At 48.6% G+C, this 21,061-nt stretch overlaps 1 long non-coding RNA gene across 4 annotated transcripts, besides 4 other annotated features; it reads right to left on the bottom strand.

Annotated features, from left to right (window-relative positions):
* Positions 1–357: 357 nt before the first annotated feature.
* Positions 358–20,545, bottom strand: LINC02730 (long intergenic non-protein coding RNA 2730). 4 transcript variants are annotated; one of them, NR_186708.1, is made up of 2 exons: positions 19,967–20,545; positions 358–1,077 (listed from the first exon to the last, which is right to left on the bottom strand). It is a non-coding gene; the product is annotated as a long intergenic non-protein coding RNA 2730 (long non-coding RNA). The 4 variants fall into 4 exon arrangements; NR_186706.1 differs by lacking the exon at positions 19,967–20,545 and adding an exon at positions 1,694–1,778; NR_186709.1 differs by lacking the exon at positions 19,967–20,545 and adding an exon at positions 1,394–1,677.
* Positions 1,246–1,816: an enhancer, noted in NCBI's record as "NANOG-H3K4me1 hESC enhancer chr11:133896839-133897409 (GRCh37/hg19 assembly coordinates)". NCBI's record gives its function as "activates a minimal SCP1, AML or CMV promoter by ChIP-STARR-seq in naive and primed H9 embryonic stem cells {active_cell/tissue: H9 hESC(naive and primed)}" and the evidence as "EXISTENCE:reporter gene assay evidence [ECO:0000049][PMID:30033119]".
* Positions 1,817–2,388: an enhancer, noted in NCBI's record as "NANOG-H3K4me1 hESC enhancer chr11:133896267-133896838 (GRCh37/hg19 assembly coordinates)". NCBI's record gives its function as "activates a minimal SCP1, AML or CMV promoter by ChIP-STARR-seq in naive and primed H9 embryonic stem cells {active_cell/tissue: H9 hESC(naive and primed)}" and the evidence as "EXISTENCE:reporter gene assay evidence [ECO:0000049][PMID:30033119]".
* Positions 3,822–4,624: an enhancer, noted in NCBI's record as "H3K4me1 hESC enhancer chr11:133894031-133894833 (GRCh37/hg19 assembly coordinates)". NCBI's record gives its function as "activates a minimal SCP1, AML or CMV promoter by ChIP-STARR-seq in primed H9 embryonic stem cells {active_cell/tissue: H9 hESC(primed)}" and the evidence as "EXISTENCE:reporter gene assay evidence [ECO:0000049][PMID:30033119]".
* Positions 7,435–7,938: an enhancer, noted in NCBI's record as "H3K4me1 hESC enhancer chr11:133890717-133891220 (GRCh37/hg19 assembly coordinates)". NCBI's record gives its function as "activates a minimal SCP1, AML or CMV promoter by ChIP-STARR-seq in naive H9 embryonic stem cells {active_cell/tissue: H9 hESC(naive)}" and the evidence as "EXISTENCE:reporter gene assay evidence [ECO:0000049][PMID:30033119]".
* Positions 20,546–21,061: the final 516 nt, after the last annotated feature.

Here is a 21,061-nt window from a genome sequence, read left to right as displayed (position 1 = left end):
CCTCCTTGGCACTCAGCATTGATGGGAATCCCACTGTCTCCTTTCCTGCCTGCCCCTTGGAGAAAGAGATGGGCTGAGAGCCTTGTTCTGGCTTCTGGCTCTGACTCCTGCTCTCCTGCTTGGACTGAGCCAAGAGGGTGAGAAGAATGGGAAAAGAGAAATAAAATTAGCTGCAGGATGAAAGATGCCCATCTGCTGTGTGGGTGAGGGAGCCCTGAGGAGGAAGGTGGACTACTTGGACAGCCAGCTAAGAGACTGAGTTGGGGATTCCTGACTTTCACAGACCCTAAGGAGCAGACAGTGTCGGGGAGGTCGGAGGATAGAATAGAAATGATGGAGATGTTGGAGCCAGTTAAGTTTGGGCTTAAGTGCTTTATGGCCTGATTCAAGTTACCTAACCTCTCTGAACTCAGTTTCTTATACCATAACATGGGGCAAAAATACTATCAACCCAACAGAGCTATTTTGAAGGCTACACAGATAAATGCACCAGAATTTCTGGAACACAGTAGGTGCTTCTAAGTGCTAGTTCCCATTCTTTCCATTATTCCAGCTGGGTCCAGTCACCCCCGTTTGCCCTCCAAGCTTCTGAGAGCAGAGCTGACCAAGCAGGCTCCAGGAGATGCTTCCCTGCCTGTTTTGGCAGCAGAGGGTCCACTGTGTTCAGTGTGTTCTTTGAGGGACCTCTTCCTTATGGGAGCTTCTTGGGAGTCACCACCAGGCACAGAGAGCTCTGGGTTGCAGATGAGATCCTTCTGTTATCTTCATATGTTTCTAAAGCAGCTATGCAGAGTGATCACCACAGTAGACGTGGGGTTCTAAAGAAAGGCGGCTGCTTGAAGGACAGGTGTGGCAGGAAGTGCGGCTAGGGAGGGGCCCCACACTGAGGGGCTTGCTCTAGACTTGAGAGGCTAATAGGCCACATCTACACAGCCGTGGGCCCTTCTGCTGTCTCTGGCACAGCAGGAAGAGATGGGATTTGCAGGCAGACAGGTGCAAGTTCAAATCTCAGCTTCATCACTTTCTGCTGCATGTCTCTGGGCAAGGGGTTTGACCTTGAAGCCTCCATTTCCTCATCTGTGAAAAGAGGACAATACTTCACTCAGGTACTTAATCTCACTTTGAAGATGACGTTGAGATAGGTACAATGTTTAATCTCCACTCAATAAATGGTCCCACGGACAGTGCTTCCAAGGACAGTCCTTTCAGATGGCAATAGTGCTAAACAGTACCTACAACCAGATGGGTGGTCTTGAGCTGAAGGCAAGACCTTAACTGCTTCATTCACCTCTGACTTCATCTGTCTTTTAGCTTTGTTTAAATTAGGCCCAGGAGTCATTCCCTCCCAATCTCTCACCCTTAGGAACCCTCCCATTCGTGCCCAGTCTCTCACCTTTTTACGCACCCTATCAGCCTGAGGAAAAATCCAGTTAGTTACCACATCTAGAAGTGACCAAGTGTCACCTGGCTGCTGGCTTACCTGGGATGTAACCAGTACTTCTCCTTTCTAGGATGGCTCTTGGGCAAGTAGCTGAGGCTCACAGGCAGAGGTCTTTGGGAGAGGCATGGCCATCTCTGTGTTCTGAGCTGCTTCTCCAGCAGCCAGGCCCTCTGTTAGGGAGCTGGCCCAGACCCCCTCCCTGGCCTCTCAGACCCCCCAGGGTGCCTGCCCAGTGTGGGGCGCATGACCCACCTTTTGCCCTTTGTGCTCCTTTGTCCACTCACCACAGACCCTTTCACACCTCAGTTAGCCACTTAGGGAGACAAAGCGCTAGTGCGAGTAGGGGAAGCTGTCCAGACCGAGATGAATGGCTCCGAAGCCTGCTGTTGCCATGGCAGCCAGCTGGGAACACCGTTTCCAGGGCCCAAGGTGCTCAGACATGCATGGGGGGTGCTGCCCTGCTGGGTTGCTGCCCACTCTCCGGCCCCCACCCTGCATTCTCAGCTTCCTTAGCAACAGCTGATGCTGTTGCCACCACCGCTGCAGCTTCGGCCCTGGCCCGGGGCAGTGTGAGGGAAGCCAGGATCGGGGGCTGGTGTAGGAGTGTGTGGGAGGGCAGAGCCTAGGTATGAAGTTGGAGAGGAAAAGGAAAGGAAAGACTTGGCAATTTTCCCCATGATACTAGTGATAAGATTATAAGGATGTTTCCTAATTATACAGAAAAGAGGCTCATAAACTTAGGCTCCAACGGACCCCTTTGTGATCTGGTGATCACCTCAACTTGTAAGAGCATGCCTGTGTCCCTGGGTATATGTGAATTTTTCTGAAACAATGGTTTATAGTTTTTATCAGATTTTTCAAAGATGACTAAGGTCCCCAATAGGTAAGAACCTTAATTAGAGACATTTTGCTTTTTAGAATCAGAATGATCTCAGGGACTGGTTGGCCAGGTTGATTTGAGAGATATGCTTACAAAGAGGAATGAATACGACACAGGGCGGGGAGTGGGGCAGGTGGCGTGCTTCCCTGTGCCTGCCCCAACCAAGAGTCCCCAGGATCTAGCATCTGCCTTGCTGTGGACCTCTAGGACTAGGGGACGGGGAATCTTCCTCCTAACACGGTCCATCCTTCGCAGCCCCTGTCCTCTTGCAGCTTTGTCCTGGGGGCCGAGTGTGCTATTAGCTTGTGCTCCCTCCATGCTGGGCCAGAGCTCAGTGTTTTATATACTCTGTTCTCACGATCCCATCTAACCCCCACACAGCACTGTGGGGAGGGTGGTCTCACCCCTGCCATTGAAAAGATGAGAGTATTGGAATGATAAGAAAACTTCCGTGACTTGTCCAAGTTCGTGCCGTTAGAAGTTGGAGAAGCCCCAGGTAGCTTAGAGGAGTGGTGAAGAGTCCGGCCCTGGGCCAGAGTCAGATGAGAGCTGCAGCCCTTATGAGCTAGGGGACCCCGGCCTCTACTCTCAAAGCTGCAAATTAAGGATCCTGATAACTCCCGCCGCAGAGGACAGTGGTGGGAGTTAAATGAGTTGAAACGGTTTGCGAAGTGCATAGGACAGTATCTACCACTAGATAAAAAGTGGAATTAGAATAGCATTCAGCCATGAGTCTGCCTAATTCTAAAGCTCATACAGAGAGGACTTTTGTGGGGGAGGGCTTCTGACCCTAATGCCAGAGCTGGGTTATGGCATAATAGTCACGCATTGCCACTTACTAATTGAGTGTGGGTGGGCTACGTGCATGTTTCAGGCCTCAGCTTTCTTACCTCTAGGGAACACCATGTTCTATAGAGGATGATTGTATAGTGAGCACTATTGATTACGTAAAGATCAAATGAAACAACGTCGGGAAAGTTCTTGGTAAACTGTGCCATATACTACAGCAATGCACTCAGTGCCCTGGCACTGAGGCCCGGCTCGTGCCCCAAGAATCGGGAAAGTTCTTGGTAAACTGTGCCATATACTACAGCAATGCACTCAGTACCCTGGCACTGAGGCCCGGCTCGTGCCCCACGGGGCTGTGTGCCCTTCCCTTGGCTGGCAGCTCAGGGCAGGGAGCCCAGTGTGATACCCGCTGAGGAGGGAGATGGCATAATGCCCTTGGGTGCCCATGTGCCCGGGTCAGCAGCCAAGAGCAGGATGCTTAGGAATTCCACCGAGGCAGCTGGGCCCCGGCTTCATTGGCAGGGGCAGAAGGGAGGCAGGTGTGAGGGAGGCCAGAGCGGGGCTCGAGGAAAAGAGGCTGGGTGGGCCATGGAACACTTTCCAAGGGGTGTCACAGAGCCACGCCAAGTGTGTGTCACCCTTCTCTATGAGGATGTGTGATTAGTGGAAATGAGAACAAGCTTTATTAGTCACTGCTGAGGAGAAACACCACGAAGAATTATCCAACCTGCTAATGGAAGGGTGCACAGGCCTCTGTAGGCTGCTGGAAGGGAGGAGTTTCATGTCCTCTTTTCTTTTTGCCCCCAGAAGACTCATGTTGCTGAGAGCAGATGGTGAGGGGGAAGAGGGTGGGTCCTCATCCTTGAGTCATTTGCTGCCGGGGTACCTTTTTGGGGCTCTGGGAAGTACAGCAAGCATGTTGGACGGATAGGCAGCCTGTTTGCAGGGGGGCGAGGGTCGGCCCGAGGAGGCGCCGCTGGGAATGACTCGTGCCCAGTCAGAAGCTGTAATTGGAGGTGATTAATCTGTGGAGGACAGCGTGGGGAGTCAGCGCTGACTCAGGACCCAGGCGGGCCGCTCCCCTCTCCCACTTCACCTGCCTCAGGCGGCAGAGGGAGGCTGCTTGGAAAGGCTAATGATTCAGAGGCCCTTAAAACAGAAGGATGAGCAGCTGAGGCTCCAGATCAAAGATGTTTTAACCCTTTAATGGTCCAGTGGTAATGTGAAGAGGTTGAGGGTCTTCCCTCGGAGTCGGGGCCCTGGACACGCGAAGCACTTATTTTATTTATTTATTTTTTTGAGACGAAGACTCGCTCTGTAGCCCAGGCTGGAGTGCAGTGGTGCAATCTCGGTTCACTGCAACTTCTGCCTCCCAGGTTCAAGCAATTCTCATGCCTTAGCCTCCTGAGTAGCTAGGACTAGAGGCGTGCACCACCACGCCCAGCTAATTTTTGTATTTTTAGTAGAGACGGGATTTTGCCATGTTGGCCAGGCTGGTCTCGAACCCCTGACCTCAGGGACCCCCCTGCCTCGGCGTCCCAAAGTGCTGAGATTACAGGTGTGAGTAACTGCGCCCAGCCCCACTCAAAGCACTTCCGATGCACCCCATCAGAAGTGGGGGTCAGGAGCTCCTCCACTGCAAGATACTAAGCTAAGGCTTTCTAGTTAAGGGGACCTAGATTTCAGCCCCAAGTAGGCACTCCCCAGCTCTGGCAAGCGGCTCAACCTCTCCAAGTCTGTACAATGAGGACAAAACTACCTACTTCATGGGGACTCAAAGAGATAGTGTTTGTGAAATGTTAGCAGAGCCGGGACTAGACCTGGGATGGGAGCAACCAACGCCTCATCCTGGGAGAGGCCACACTGAGCATGTGTTTTAAAAGAGGCTGCATTCACATTTTTCACCTCTCTTCTATATTCCAAAGATAAGCAAGAAGACCTGGGTCAGAAGAGCCAGCGTGAGTCACGCACAGCTGTCACCAGGGACAGTAAGATGGGTGAAATGAAGATGCAAATCACCAAATATTATTTTACCTATACACACACACACACACACACACACACACACACACACACACACACACACATACAGGTAGTCTAAAATTGTACACAATATACACAGTAAATATTTAATTAAAGAGGCTGTTTTCCTATTGGTAACTGACCTTACACCTTGGGGGAAGGTGCCCAGGTACACATACCTTGAAAACGCCCAATGGCTTTTGAGGAGACCTTGGTGGCAGTACTTTGTTTTGAGTGCAGGATCTTAGCAGAAGTCAGGACGCAGTGGACTTTTAGGGGAGCTGAGTCTGGAATAGTAAAGATGCTCCGGTCCAGCTGCTTTTGTGTGGTCAATCTGAGGGAGGGGGGGGTGGACTGTGTCATGGGGTTGGGGCTAGATCTTGGATGGGTTCATCCAACCCAACACCATGCATGTGCCTTAAAAGAAGTTCTAATTCTTTTTCAACTTTTGTGTACCTCAAAGGAGAAGTAAGAACACTTGACCAGTAAGAAGAGTGAGGATTAGATTTTGCACAGTTGCCAGAATGCAAAATCGAGATGATGGATATGAAATGCAAATGGGCAAAGTTAGGCATGTTCCTTCTTTATCCTCAAGGACGCTGAGCCAGAGCCGCAGCGCGCTCCCAGACAGAGCACAGCTCCCAGGTTCCCCAGCTCCTGTGAGGACCCACAGCTGGGGTGGCCCACACAGAGATTGGGATTCTGCCAACCTCACCCAGAGATGCTCCCTCTCCATTCTCGTGTTCTTGTTTGTTTTCTCCTGCCTGGTACCGTGCCTAACCACATGACCCTTCCAGGGACTCTTGCCGCAAGCTGGCCTATTCACCAGGTGCAAACAATTTATGCAGCACTTCCTACCCGTTCTCCAGTGTTTGTGGTGAAATTGGGAAATGCAAAGGTTATTTTTCTCAGGAGCATCCTGCAGCAGGTCTGGGATTCAGGCCTGTCAAAATTCTCCCCTGCAGATACATCTGGAACATTCCATTAGCAGCAGGAACTCTGACAATCAGGATGGTTTAACTCTCAGAGTGGGGAGCCAGGTAACCAAGACCTTTACCCTGGAGATCATTAGAAATAAAACTGCAATTTTCACATCTCCCTAGAGGTATGTTCCTCCCTGGTGGGAGGGGCTGAAGGCCTATAAGCACCCATCTCAGCCCCAAGAAGCCCAGTTCTTCCAATGTCCTTCAGCCTCTACCAGCTGCAGAACAATAAACAAACTCTGTCCTGTGAAGCTTCCTGCACAGTTAGCATTTGTGGGCTGCAGCCTCTTGCCATTTGATGTGTGGACAACAAAAATCAGCATATAGATTGAGCTGCCGCTATACGGAGGGCAAAACGAAAACGGAGAAGACAGTGTTTCGTTTTTTATTTATTTTTCTTTTTTGAGGAGGAGTTTTGCTCTTGTTGCCAAGGCTGGAGTTTAATGGTGCAATCTCGGCTCACTGCAACCTCCGCCTTGCGGGTTCAAGCCATTCTCCTGGCTTAGGCTCCTGAGTAGTTGGGATTATAAGCATGCACCACCACACCCGGCTAATTTTGTATTTTTAGTAGAGATGGGGTTTCTCCATGTTGGTCAGGCTGGTCTCAAACTCCTGACCTCAGGCGATCTGCCCACCTCGGCCTCCCAAAGTGCTGGGATTACAGGCGTGAGCCACCACGCCCGGCCAAGACAATGTTTTAGAGTCCAGTTGGCTTCTCTTAGGGAGAAGATCACTCTTCAGAGGAGGGACTAGCCGGCTGCCTCCGCCACTTAGTGAAGGGGAGGGAAGAGTCTTACTAGTAGGTTTGGTCACAAAATTCCCCTTCCCCACCACCCCCAACACACACGCAGCGGGAGAAAGGAAAGGGGAAGGAAAGATCCAGGTGGCCTCGGCTGCTGGCCTCGTTCTGTTTCCTCCCTGGACCCACTGGTTAGCACGTGCTGAGCCCAAGATCTGTGCTCTTGGCTGCAAGGATTTCCCCTGTACGTCCTCCATTTGCAAATTTGGGTCTTGGTCCTCCTGGAATCCAACTACTTTGAATTCCTGGCACAACCAGATCTTTGCTGAGTCTTGTGAGTACAAGGCATTTACGATGCACTGTCAGTCCCTGGTTGTGGGGGCGCAGAACCACACTCGGCCAGAGGCTTGAGGGGCAGGTGACTGTGGAAGCATAGATTTAGGATATACCTTTGGGATTCCAGAATAGCAAACGGACACCTCATGAGATGAAATGGTTCATCAAAGATCTTGCTTGTTGGTAGAACAGCAGGAATAAGACTCAGGCTGTCTAACTCCTAGCTCTTCCTGTTGTCGCTGGTGCCTTCTCCAGGCAGGGAGCTCTGCTGACAGTAGGCTGCACAGCTCCGGGAACTGAATCCAATCCTGCCCCAACCCTTTGTTAGGCATCCCCTGCGTGGCTCCAGGGTCATACGCATTGTGGGTCTGGTGTAGCCCCTTGGCCTGGGGAACACACAGAGGGATGTTGGGCCTGTCGCCATGGGGCATGAAGCCTGGGGAAGCACCACCTTGCTTCCTGCCACAGCCTTTGTGATGGTCGCAAAGCTCTGAAGGAAGTTGCAGAAGACAAACCAGTCATTTTCTCTCTGTCTCCTTGATTTCTCCTGCATCCAGGGTGGCTCCTGATTTTCCTGGTGACTTAGCGTTTCCTTACACTTGGACTCATCATCGTCACTACTCCCACCACTGATCTGGAATGTGTGGCCTCCCTCCCCCACCGTCACCGCCTCCAAGGGGCCTCCTCCACTCCACCTGCGGCTTCTTCCCATGAGCTGCACAGCTGTTCTCACCCCCATCGGAGGCGCCCTCCTAACCCCGCGGTGGAGGAGAGCACAGGGAGGCTCAGGAGAAACTGGAAGCCTTGCTAGTTCCCGGGGGTGGGGCAGACATCCCTCAGCAGGCCAGACACCTGCTGCAATGTGAGCAATTCTGTATCCACCCAACGAACATCGCTGCCTACCTGCCTGCCAGGCACTATGCCAGACGCCATGGCCTTGTCACCTAAAGCAGGGGTTCTGCCCTCAGAGGAATGCTCGTGCAAGCGGGTACATCCGTGGCTTCACTACAATCTGATGGGCCCATGTCAGCTGCAATGGCCCCAAGTACAGGAGCTTTAGGTAGGGAATGGAGCGACGGTCAAGTCAAGCAGGGGAGCAGGAAGCCCTTGGATGTGGTGCCTGAGTGGGCGTTGGAGGGTGGTGAGGGATGAAGTGGGCAGCTAAGGTTGAGGGAAGGGCAGGAAGGAGGCCACCCGTTTCCACCTGGGAGAGCAAGGGGACAGCACGGGGCAGGTGCTGGATCTGTTAGAAATCTCCCCAGATGGATGGTGGGCTCTGAGGCAGCTGGCCTCTCTCTGGGGCGAGCATGCTGTGGTGGAAAGAGTGATCCAACGACAGTCAGAAGGCAGGTGTGGTCCTGGGTCCACCATGAACCAGTTCGATGATGTTGGCAAGTCACTGACCCTAACCTCGAGGAAAAAGAGAGAATTGGACAAGATAGCCTCTGACGTCCCTTCCAGCTCCAAAACTATCCTCTGCCTTCCAAACACACAAGAAAACCAAACAAAAGTAAATATGGTTCATGGATGCTTAGACCTCCTAGACAGTCAGATTCAGGGTTGGTCAAGATGGTGGTGAGGGAACCTGCCCTATCCTGGTAGGTGGAGTGAGCTGAGGGTGAAGAAAGCCCATTCCCCTTCCCCTTGGTCGGGTCAGGATTCCCCCCACCAATGAGCAACAGGACATCAGGGCCAAAAAAAAAAATCGATTGCAATGCCAGTGGGAACTCTTCTTGTCACGATGTTTCACTCCAGCGCCTCCATTTCTATTATTATACCAAGTGATTTATTCCAAAAACATAAACCCAGCAGCAAAAGAGTACCCGGCTCCCCAGGGAGAGGTCTCTTCCTCTTTCTCCTTCCCTGCAAGCTGTTGCCTGGCTCAAGTTACCTGCCTCTTGTCCAGCTTCAGCCCGCCCTCAGTGGGAAGGGTTGCAGGCTGGGAGGGAGATGGCACCTCCAAGATATTCCCTGGGTCTGCCCAGCTACTTGGCCTTCACGGGCAGTATTCACTACAAGTTTCTACTCAAATTTCTTTGAAACCTGGGTAAACATCTTTTTCTACTTCGTGCTTTAGTTTTCTCATCTTTGAAATGGGGAGAAAAATTCTTGACAGTTTCTCCTTACAAGCCCAGGGAGGTACTAAGACTTGGATTCTGGCTAGATGCTAGTTAGATCAAAGCTATGCCAGCTGGGCATGGTGGCACATGCCTGCGGTCCCAGCTATGCGGGAGGCTGAGGCAGGAGGATTGCTTGAGCCCAGGAGTTTCAGGTTACTGTGAGCTATGATTGCACCACTACACTCCAGCCTAGGCAAAAAAGCTAGACCCTGTGTCTAAAAAAAAAAAAAAAAAAAAAAAAAAAAAAAAAAAAAAAGGAGAAACATAGAAAAATAAAAGCTCTGCCTTTTCCTCTGTTTGCTGGCATTCCCATCTGAACACAGCTCTGAGCCAGGCCCCTTCCCCTGTAGGGCCACCGTGACACTCTTGTTGACATCGCTGCCTAAACTGGGGCTGGGAAGAACAACTCATTCATGGAAGGCTTGAGGATGACCTGATTTGTCCTCTGAAAGCTGAAATCTTCGAGTTTTAAAAATCCTCCTAATAACGCATTTTGCTTGTCCTCTTCTACCTGAGATGGAAATTGGTTAGAGTCAAGCGGAGCCTTGAGTCGGTGGGGGACGGGATGGATGGAGCACGCTCCCATGGCGTCTGGGATAGTCAGTTCCTCCTGGACTCCAGGGCTACGTGTTGCTTGTGCAATTCCATCATCTGCCACTTAGCATATGCTGTCTTATATTTTAGTGATTAAAAAATATATAGCCCATCTCTATTTTCAGGCTTGAAAGGGAAAGAGTAGAATGACACACAGTAGTTTTCAACAAATGACTGGTTTTGTAATTGCTGCTGATTTTAACCGTAGCTGCAGGATCTATGAGTCTACGTAGGAGTTATAATTGGGAACTGTTGGAACAGAGGGGTCTGAAAGTCTCAGGCCAGCCTCCTCACAGACTCGCAAGGAACAGGTTATAGTTTCTCTTTCAAATCCACTTTCCCATCCCTAGAAGAATATGTATGTGTAAGTGGGAGACTTATATCTTTTATCATTTGATCTTCGTTCTAAGATGGGGAAACTGAATTTGGGGAGGTTAAGCAGCTTGCCGGTAGTTACACAGTTGGAGGGACAGAGCCAGGGTTAGCATGCTGCCTGATTTTAAGGCTCATGTTCAGTCCACCACATCATAATGCTTCGTGAACGGACGAAGGCGATGATTTCCCGACAGCTTGTGAACTCTGTTGTGGATCAGCAGGCTGAGAAGGGAACTGCTCACAGTGACGCAGCCCGGAAGAGGTAGAGCCGGGCATGGGGCCCCTGGCTCTGCTCGCCAGGCTGTCCCTTGTGCAGGCCGGGTAGCCCGCAGACCCGCCAGTGTCTCAAAAGAGAGTCGTGTTCTCTTTTTGCTGAGTTCAAATGTGTGCAGAAGAATATGCACAGCTCTGCAAACATGAAGCACATATTCTAGCAAGAGGGCTGTCGGGCTTGTGTGGGTTTGAAAGCAGGGACTGGCTGCCCTGAGCTCCCGTTGCTGGCACATCTCCTTCCCCCAGGAGGCAGGATGGTCACAGCCATGCCATGTTGGCAATGAGGATCCACTGGACTCCCTCCTGGGAGCGGTCGTTGTGTAGCTAGAGGTGGGAAAGTAGAGGGGTTAAAGGCTGCCTTCCTTTGTCTCGCCAAAGGGAAATCCCTGTAAAGCAATGAAATTGTGATGAGCTTTGAAGAGGGCTTCTACCCACTAAGAAGCCAGTCCTGAATTTTGATGCGATGTCACTTAGCACAGTTCCTTCCCACCAACTGTTTGCTATGACACCATGGAGCTAAATAGCAGAGCTGCCGAAATAACAGTTGAGAGAGAGAAGTAAGAGGCATCAGCAAGGGAAAAAGATTTTTTAAGCAAGGAACAGAATGAGACAGCAATCAATGAAACAGACAGAAGCAAGATGTCTGTTCCAGGTGGCGAGAGGCAGAGATGTCTTTTGTGTGACAAAGAAGTCTAGGATGCCAGCCATGCACTTGACAGAGGGCAGTGACCATAACTGTCTGCATTCGAGACTTCTCAGAAACGTCCACATCTTCCATCATGTTACCTTCTTATGAGAAGGGACAGATACTAACATCATTTTATATGTGAGCAATAGCGGAGAGTTTTCATACGTGAGTGCAGATACTCATCTGGTACCCAACCACAATGCTTTCTGGCTTGGCTGTGCTGTTCAACCAGTGCCACCGTATTTGAGGGAAGAAGATGCAGTGGGTTTTCTGGATATAGGAGGGGAATGCCGACAGGTGGTTGGCACAAATATTTGAAACGGGAAGGGCTGTGACAAGATCCTGCCTCCCTGCAGTGCCACTCAACATCCATCACTGTGAGGGAGCAGGCAGGTCCACACGCCCTATCACCTGCCTTGTGTTTAAGAAGGACACAGAAGATCTGGGCATGAGGACCGTAACAGGGTTGGCATCTCCCTGTTCACCTTGTGATTTGTCTAGGTGCATGAATAAATATGCAGGGATAGCTATGTATTTCTATGACATAATCTCCTCTCTTCTTTGGACAGGAGAGGTCTCCTCCAACAGTGGAGCTTTCTCAAGAGTCTTGGTTCTCCTGCTATATTTTCTTCTCTCTCTCTCCCCCCACAGCCCCACCCTTTCCATGCTCATCAAGTGAAAAAGTTTCCATTTAATTCAAGCAAGGGATTGTCTGTGAGCCTGCATCCTGCCAGGGACATAATCTATTCTTTTTTGTGGCATCAGAGGAGTCCAAGACTCTACCACAAGTAATTGAGAAAGTTGACCTGGCAGTGACTAGTGATGTAACCTTACAAATCCTGGGATTCGCCATCTGGAATTACATTCTTCTCAAACTGGACAAGACCTCCAGAATCATACAATGTCAGAGCTTGAAAGCTAAGGACGTTCACTTCAGCTCCTTATTAAATAGAAGAGGAAACTGAGGTCCAGGAGTGCTGAGTGGCTTGCTACTTAGAGTCACTCCTTCCTCTATGCTCTTCCCATTACTCCAACTCATCTTTAGCTCACCCCACTCCACTGCTGGGTATACTTGTGTTTGAGCCATCTCTCTTCTTCCGAAACATCTCATAAGGGAAAGGGCTTTTAAGCCTAGTATGTAGGAGATGACTAGCATCTCTCAAGCCCTTAAGACAGAACATGACATCCCAACATCAGCAAAGTTTTCTTTCCATCTAAATTTGCCTTGCTGCCATACTTCCTAAACTTTTTGAGTGAAGAGAGAGGAAAGGGATCTCCATGCTTACTTATTTTTCCATAGGTGTCAAATGGGCAACTTTGCCCTCCCTGTGGCCCGGCCCCCTCCTCTGGTGTAGCATTCTCTTGTTGAAGTTAAAGAATCACAACTTCCAAGCTCATAAGCCATGTGCTTAGCATCCTAAAGTCAAATAGAGGTTAGTCCATTGGAGAACTGACTCTTTGCTTAATGACCAAAAAAGTAATATCTTTAAGAGCCTTCCCTTTCATTTCATGCCAAAGTTATTAGGCTAGATCCAGCCTAGGGTTCTGGCAGCAGGCATGCCAGAGAGCAAAACTGGGACAGAGAGCAAGATGGGGACCCTCTTGAGGGGGGCTGTAGGACAAAGGTATAGTGGGCAGATTTCACGGGAGCTCCCCAATTTTCTACCATGCAGTTCTCAGTACATGGCCATAAGCATCTTGAAAAGCATTTGTGAAACTGCCAAGAAGCCAGGCTAAAAATACCCACAGAACAGTCTGGATCAAGGAGAAATGCAGAGCTGGGCGTGAGGGCTCCGTGGAAGGTGTGAGACTCAGTGCAGCAGCCAGACTGCAGCGCCCACCTCAGGCTCCTGCTCCAGGCAATGAAGCCATGGTGGACTGGATGTTGTTGGGGAGGAGTGGATGCATCTGGGTTTAGACCTTTTGTTTTATTTTTGAATCGGTCCAGTCCAGCAGTGCAGCAAGGGTGTCTAATGACACACTAAGGGCACCTAGCATGTGCTCTTATAGTTCCAAGTCCAAGCATTCACCTGCTTCTTGGGAAAATAGCATTCTTTATGAAATTTTTTTCATACATCTAAAGAGAAAGTCATGTTTGAAAGATGAACTAGGCTGGGCGTGGTGGCTCATGCCTGTAATCCCGCCAAGGCGGGTGGATCACCCGAGGTTGAGAGTTCGAGACCAGCCTGACCAACATGGAGAAACCCCATCTCTACTAAAAATACAAATTAGCTGGGCATGGTGGCTTATTGCATTCTTAAAGATTAGCCATTAAGAATGAATGCTTCTTCCTTAAATATTCCACACCCTTTTCTTTTTAACTTTATTTTAAAAATTATTAATTTGATTGACAAAAATTGCATATGTTTTTGATGTACAACATGATGGGGTTTTTTGTTCTGTTTTGTTTTTGAGATAGAGTCTCACTCTGTCGCCCAGGCTGGAGTGAAGAGGTGCAATCTCAGCTCACTGCAACCTCTGCCTCCTGAGTAGCTGGGACTACAGGTGTGTGCCACCACGCCCGGCAAATTTTTGTGCTTTTTCAGTAGAGATGGGGTTTTGCCATGTTGGCCAGGCTGGTCTCGAACTCCTGAACTCAAGTGATTCACCTGCCTCGGCCTCCCCAAGTGTTGGAATTACAGGCGTGAGCCATCACATCCGGCCTGTGATGTTTTGATACATTATGGAATGGCTAAACTGAGCTAATTAACATACACATTACCTCATATATTTATCACTGTGTGTTGTGAACACTTAAAATCCCTTAGCAACCTCCAAGGCTACAGCGCATGATTATTAACTGCACTTGTTCCTCCTGCCTCACTGAGGTCTTGGACCCTTCGGCCACCAACTCTCCAGTGCCCCCATGTGAGGTGTTTGGGGCTTTGCAGGGGCTCCCAGTGCTCCTTATAATGGCTGTAACTTGGCTTTGTCTGCTTATGGTTCTCTCTCTACACCATTTTTAGGCTCCTTCTTCTAACACTTAATCTAATCATGTGCCCCTGACAAATATTATCGCTAGTCTGCTTTTTCCAGTTTTTTGTTCTTAGTTATCAGGAACATTTTACATCAGAACCCTCCTGCCTCTCTCCCAGGGTTGCCAGCAGCAGTTCCGTCATGCTTAGGCTCTCGCTTTTAGGCAGGGGATACACTTCCTTGGGTGTTTCCAAATTTCTCTTTGAGACAGCACCTTGCTCTGTCACCCAGACTGGAGTGCAGTGGAGCGATCATGGCTCACTGCAGCCTTGAACTCCTGGGATCAAGCAATCCTCCCACCTCAGCTTCCCCAGTAGTTGGGACTATAGACTTGTGCCATCCTGCCTGGCTAGTTTTTGTATTTTTTGTAGAGACAGGATCTCACTATGTTGCCCAGGCTGCTCTCAAACTCCTAGGCTCAAGCGATCCCCCTGCCTTGGCCTCCCAAAGTGCAGGGATTACAGGCATGAGCCACTGCACCTGGCCTTGTTCATGTTTTTAAATAAAAATTATTATTTGAGACAAAGACCTGTCTTTGAGGAATCAAGTCTAAAGATGGACAGCATGATATGAGCAACCATCCGTAGGACACAGAAAACTAAGTTAAGAAAAATAAAATGAGACATTCAGTATTTATATAATGCATAGATCAAGGTAAGTGTGTTTGTCACCCTGATGTAATTTGTTTAATCTGTCCCTGGCTGTCCCCTCAGGAAACTCTTCTTCCCCTGAACCCTCAATTATTTTCCTAAGTCTATTTCTTTTAGCGGACGGAAGTGCAGACCTGTGTGCCCTTCCGATGGCAGAAACTTGCGGCTGGCTGTGACTTCTGAGAGGTGGATGGAGTAGATGTCATGAGGTGACTTCAGAGAACTGAGTGCTATTGACAAACTTTTGGGCAGTTTGTCAAAAATGTGACAAACCTATTCTCATTTTGTTTGGCTTTGGCCCATTTGTATAGTTTTCATTTTGAGGGCTCTATGGAAATAGCCTCTGTGGAGACTGAATGTAGTCATTATAAAAAAGCTGAAACACAAGTTTACTTGGGGGTGCATACGCTTTGTTCTATCTAGAAACTCTGGGGTGCCTCACATTTTCTGAGTGGAGAAATGGTAAATTCATTGGTGGCTGGAATCCAAGGAAGAGGAAGCAGCAATACTCTTCCCAGAGCCGGGACTCCCCTGTGGCCCCCAGCATCCCATTGTTGTGAGGACTGTGGGTAGAGAGCCCTTGCTCCAGGGGCCCTGAGTTCAACCACCACCTTGTCTTTGTAGAGCAGAGCTGCCTCCTTGTTTGAAGGAGCCGTCAGCTGGGCTGGGCAGTTTGTAAAGCCCCAGTGGGAGAGTGGCATTCAATCCTGATCTCCAGCGCCTCATTGCTTGTGGGTTTTAAATCCCTGAGAGAGGGAAATCATTGCTTCTAGATCCACGTTCCCTCGACTCTCTTCCCTAGGGTTGCTGGTCAGACCTGGTGCAGTTCCCCTTGCACCACTGGGCTCCATCCAACTCTGGCCTTGATGTTTTCTATAAATTCAGAAAAGGCCTGTGCCTCGACTTCCTGCAGTGGCACCCTTAACCTCATCTCACACTCCACTACGCTGTCCTTGTACCTCAGCCATGTCGGGAACCACAGACCATCACTGGACATTCACCAGAGCAAGCCTTTGTCCACTGCAATGCTCCTCTGGGCTGCTGGTGTGGGTAGTATCTTCTCTTGAGCTGGAGGAGACCCCTTTAGGAGGCAGTGAAGACCCCCACTTGTTTGTTTTTGCTTGTTTGTGCACAGTAGGTATTTAATAAATATCCGTTGCATGAAAGAATGAGCAAATGGGCTCTTCCCACTCTAACAGAAGTACCTCAGCAAAGATTTTATGCTTCCCTGAACTTGGTCAAAGAAGATGAATGGTTTAACTGAGGTGTTTATTTCGGCCACTGAGATATGCTTCTTTGGTGATCTCTGAGATTTATATTCTTTTTCTTCTGAAAACTAAAAATAAACAAAAAATCCAAATACCCATGAAGTGTTGGACACTGTACTAAGTGATCCCATCAACACTTTCTCACTGAATTTCTTCAGCCCCTTTGTCAAGGAGGTTTCATTTTCCTCCTCTTTACAGATAAGGAGACCACCTCTCAGAGAACAGGCAATGTATCCCACGTCCCTCAAATAGGAGGCAGAAGCAAGATTTGGACTCAGGCCTGCCCAGCTGCAATTCGAGGGTTCTTCCCACTGTAACGGCCTGGCCCATCCTTTCCAGAGGCAGCCATATGGCTGAGATTCCGGGAAGGAAGCTATCTCCATAGGAAGCATGTGGGGTGCCTAAGAATGATGTTAGGAGTGACAGGACCGGAGCCCAACACCATGGGGTTGAATATCGTTCTAGGCGGAAACAATACTAAAAGATAACATTCATTGAGCTTGTTCACCATGGACCACATACTCCTTCCAAAAGAGTCCGTGAAGGTAGTACTTCAGCTTACCAATGAGGAGTCTAAGACACAGGAACTTTAAGTAACTTCCAAAGGATAAGTGGCAGAGTCAGAATTTGAACCCAGACAGAACTCTTAACCATTATGCAAGGCTGCTTATAATGTCAGAGGAATGGTTTCCAGAATTCACACACAATCTTAGTGTTCATGGTAAACTGAACACCAAAAGATGAGGCAAATTCTATGCCCCTATCCCTGAATCTGGGCATGTTTGTGACTACCTTAACCAACGAATTATGGAGAAGTGACACTAGATGACTTCCAAAGCTATGTCATAAAAAACAATGCAGCTTCTACTTTGCCCACTGGGATACTCACTTTCAGAGACGGGATCACCTGTTGTGAGGAAGCCCAGACCAAAGGCAGAGCCAGTAGCTCCAAGTGAGCTTTCAGCCAAAAGCCAGCAGCAACCACCAAGCACCTGAGCCAGCCTCTTGGAGACCCAGCTGAGCTGAGCCTTCACTGACTGCAGCTTCAGTCAAGGTCTGAATGCAACCTCATGAGAGACCCTCAGTAAGAACTGCTCAGCTGAACCCTGCCTTTCTTGTGGCTGTAAGTACAAGCAAATTGTTGTTTTGAACCACTAGGTTATAGGATAATGTGAATGGTATGTAGCAATACATAACCAGAACAGCAGCTCACAGCCTCCAGGTCTGGTCTTCCTTCCTATAATGCCTCACTATTTGATGTCCTAAGTTAAACAACAATACCACCATCACCACCACCACCATCACCATCATGACCACCACCACCACCATCACCAACAGCAACTATTGCTACTACTAGAGGAACAAACTTTGGGTATCTAGCATGTGCCAAACACATTCCCATGTTCATTGATTTAATCCTCATAAGCACCATCTACAATAGGTAGTATCACATTTTAAGATATAATCACTGAATCTTAAAGAAGGAAAATAACTTTCTTGATGTAATTCCAGATTCATAGTACTTTCTGCCATCTCAAATTTTAGGCTGAACTGATCAAGGTAACTAAGGGAAAGCAAGAAGCACAACTGCTACCGTTGTGACTATCCACACCTACCTTTTTTTTTTTTTTGAGACAGAGTCTTGCTCTGCTGTTCAGTCTGGAGAGCAGTGGCATGAATCATGGTTCACTGCAGACTTGAACTCCCAGGCTCAAGCAATCCTCCTACCTCAGACTCCCAAGAAGCTGAGACTACTGCTGCATACTACCATGCCTGGCTACTTAAAAATTTTTTTCGTAGAGGTAGGGTCTCAGTATGTTGCCCAGGCTGGTCACAAACTCCTGGCCTCAAGTGATCCTCCCGTCTTGGCCTCCCAAAGTGTAGGATTATAGGTGTGAGCCACGCGCCCAGCCAGTTACTGTTTTTATTGTTGAATATATGCTCAAACAAAAAAAAATGCACAACAAAAATGTACAGGTCAATGAATTATCATAGATCAAATTCCTATATATCTACCACCCAAGGTCAAGAAAACAGAACATTGCCAATATCCTAGTAGCTTCTGTCTTCACAACTGGTCCCAATCACCACCCCTCCCATTGCCCTGAAGGTGATCATGATCATTTCTCTTATGAAAACCAACATAGTTTTACTACCTAAACTTTCATTACTAAAAACTAGCAGTCTTGCCCTTTGTAAATTGTGTATAAATGGACCACATGGCATGTATTCCTTGTGTTTACTTTCTTTTATGAGAGATTATGTTTAAAGGTTATGTTCTGAGATTTAGCCATGTTGTTTTGTATAACTGTAGTTCATTAATTTTTATTGGTTATTCTACTATATGAATATACCACAATTTATTCGTTTCACTGGTGATGGACATTTGGCTTGTTTTTAATCCTTTTCATTATACAAATCATGCTGCTGCTATGAAATTCTAACATGTGCCCTTTGGGGGACATGTGCATGCATTTCTGTAGGGTATGTGTCTAGCAGTAAGGTTGCTAAGTCATGGGGGGTGCATTTGTTCAACTGTAATGGATATTGACAGTCTTCTGTAGTGATTATACCATTTCCAACTGCTACCGGGAACACAAGAGAGTGCCTGTTGTTCTACAGCCTTGTGAACATTGTACTATCAGTCCTTTTTTTTTTTTTTTTTTTTTTCGAGACAGAGTCTCACTCTGTCGCCCAGGCTGGAGTGCAGTGGCACCATCTCATCTCATTGCAACCTCTGCCTCCCAGATTCGATTACAGATGCCCGCCACCACACCCAGCTAATTTTTGCATTTTTAATAGAGACGGGGTTTCACCACGGTGGTCAGGCTGGTCTCGAACTCCTGGCCTGAAGTGATCTGCCTGCCTCAGCCTCCCAAAGTGCTGGGATTACAGGCGTGAGCCACTGCCCCTGTGTGTATTATCAGTCCTTTCAATTTTAACTACTCTGATGGGTGTGTAGTGGTAACTCACTATAGTTTTAACTTGCATTTTCTTGACCACTGAGAAATTCTCATGTATTGAATGGCCATTTGGATATTCTCTGCTGTTAACTGCTTTTTCAGGTTTCCTGTCAATTTTTCTTCTAGGGTATTTGCCTTTTTCTAAATACTCTAAGAAATGTATAATATTATTTACATATACGTTCTCTAACATTTGTTTTAGTAGAGTATATGTGTATACGTATGTATGTGTATGTCCGTGTGTGTGTGTTTGTGTGTGTGTGTGTGTACTAAAGCCCTTTGTCGGGTAAGGATGCCTTGGCGTGGCCATGTGGATAGGGATTAGGGACTCAGATCTTCCTTTCCAATTAAAGGGGAAAATGTACAGATGCCTCTCTGTCTGAGTATGTGCTGAAAAAAGCAAAGAATGCATATTTGGGACAAGAAGGCTCTAAAACAGGGAACAATATAAACCCAGATTTGAAACAATTTATGCAAAACAACTAGATTAGAGCTAGGCACACTCTTGCAGCTCCTAGGAAGAGTAAGATGGTTCTGAGCCTGCATTTGTTATCTGTCTTGGGTGTGGAGACCACTGTAGAAGGGAAGGGCTCAGAGGCCGCTGGCTCTGCTGTGCATTCTTTCTAGATGTAGGGTAGTGATCAGAGGCAGGGAGGCTGGGAAGGGCTTGGGTGGCTTCTCCAGGCAGCTCAGAAGCTCCCGACTGCTGTGGAAGGTGAACTGTCTTCCTGCTGAGCCAAGGGCTCAGGGAAATGCTGTTATCTCTGTCCTCAGTATTTGCATCTCAACTCACCCTTGGCAGCTCTGCTGTTTGCATAAGGTGCCTTGGGACAGATCTGCTTCCTCCTTGCAGAGGTCCTGACACCTACCTTGAGTCCTGCAGTGTGTGGAGGCCGGTGGAGTAGCTCTGCTTCACTCTGCAGGTTTCTCTTGTCAGATGACGTCATTCTCACAGGCTACAAGGTCCCAGCTGCCTTCCAGCTCAGGCCAGCATGTCTCTGCCCTGTGTTCTCCCTGGATGGCCCCAGCTGGGTGGTTCTGAGCAGACCGGTCCAGGTTTTTATTATTATTCACCAGGTTAAACAGTGTCAGCAGAACCCGCCAACCTCTAAGATCAGGCTTGATTCCCAAAGCGCTGCGGGCCCAGGAGTCACATCAGCCCTGTGCCATCAGAGCAGCCTTGAAGCAGAGCAGCTCACTGATGGGCAGATTTTTGATGCCTTCCTCACCTTCCTTCCACTTTGTGTCTTCAGGTCTAACAGAGCAGGGAGAGGAGAGGTGGGTTTCGGCTTCATCAGTAGTCAGCCTCTCAAAGGGCAGCAGGGAGAGATCACCTGTGCTCAAGGGGCTAAAGGGAGCTGCATTTACTTGGGGGCAGAGGCTGTGGGCACTCAGCACTAGCAAATACCCAGGAGGCACTCCCTCAAGGACCCGCCTCAGGCAGTGCAATGGAAGCCACAGTTATCTGCCTAGTGCAAAATCAGGAGCCTTGCAATGGTGTCTTATAGAGTAACATTTGTCAATGTAACTGAGGTTCATTCTCTGTTATAATTATTAATTAATTTAATTTTTGTTTTAAGAGACAGGATCTTGCTCTGTCGCCCAGGCTGGAGTGCAGTGGTACAATCATAGCTCACTGCAACCAGGAATCCCTGAGCTCAAGCGATCCTCTCACTTCAGCCTCCCAGAGTAGCTGGGACCACAGGCATGTGCCACCAAGCACGGCTGATTTTTATATTTTTTGTAGCGACAGTGTTTTGCCATGTTGACCGGGCTGTTCTCAAACTCCTGAGCACCAGCGATCTGCTTGCCTCAGCTTCCCAAAGTGCTAGGATTATAGGCATGAGCCACCACGCTCAGCCTTGCTGTCCAATTATGTGTGCTGGCCAACCCCCTGTATGGCCCCTGACGATCCTCGCCTCCTGGCATCCACATTCTTTGTAACCCCCTCCCATACTGAGTGG

The sequence above is a fragment of the Homo sapiens genome, chromosome 11 (assembly GCF_000001405.40).
Source record: "Homo sapiens chromosome 11, GRCh38.p14 Primary Assembly".
Lineage (NCBI taxonomy): Eukaryota > Metazoa > Chordata > Mammalia > Primates > Hominidae > Homo > Homo sapiens.
Note: the sequence above shows the minus strand (reverse complement) of the source record. Positions and strands in the feature narration are given on the sequence as shown.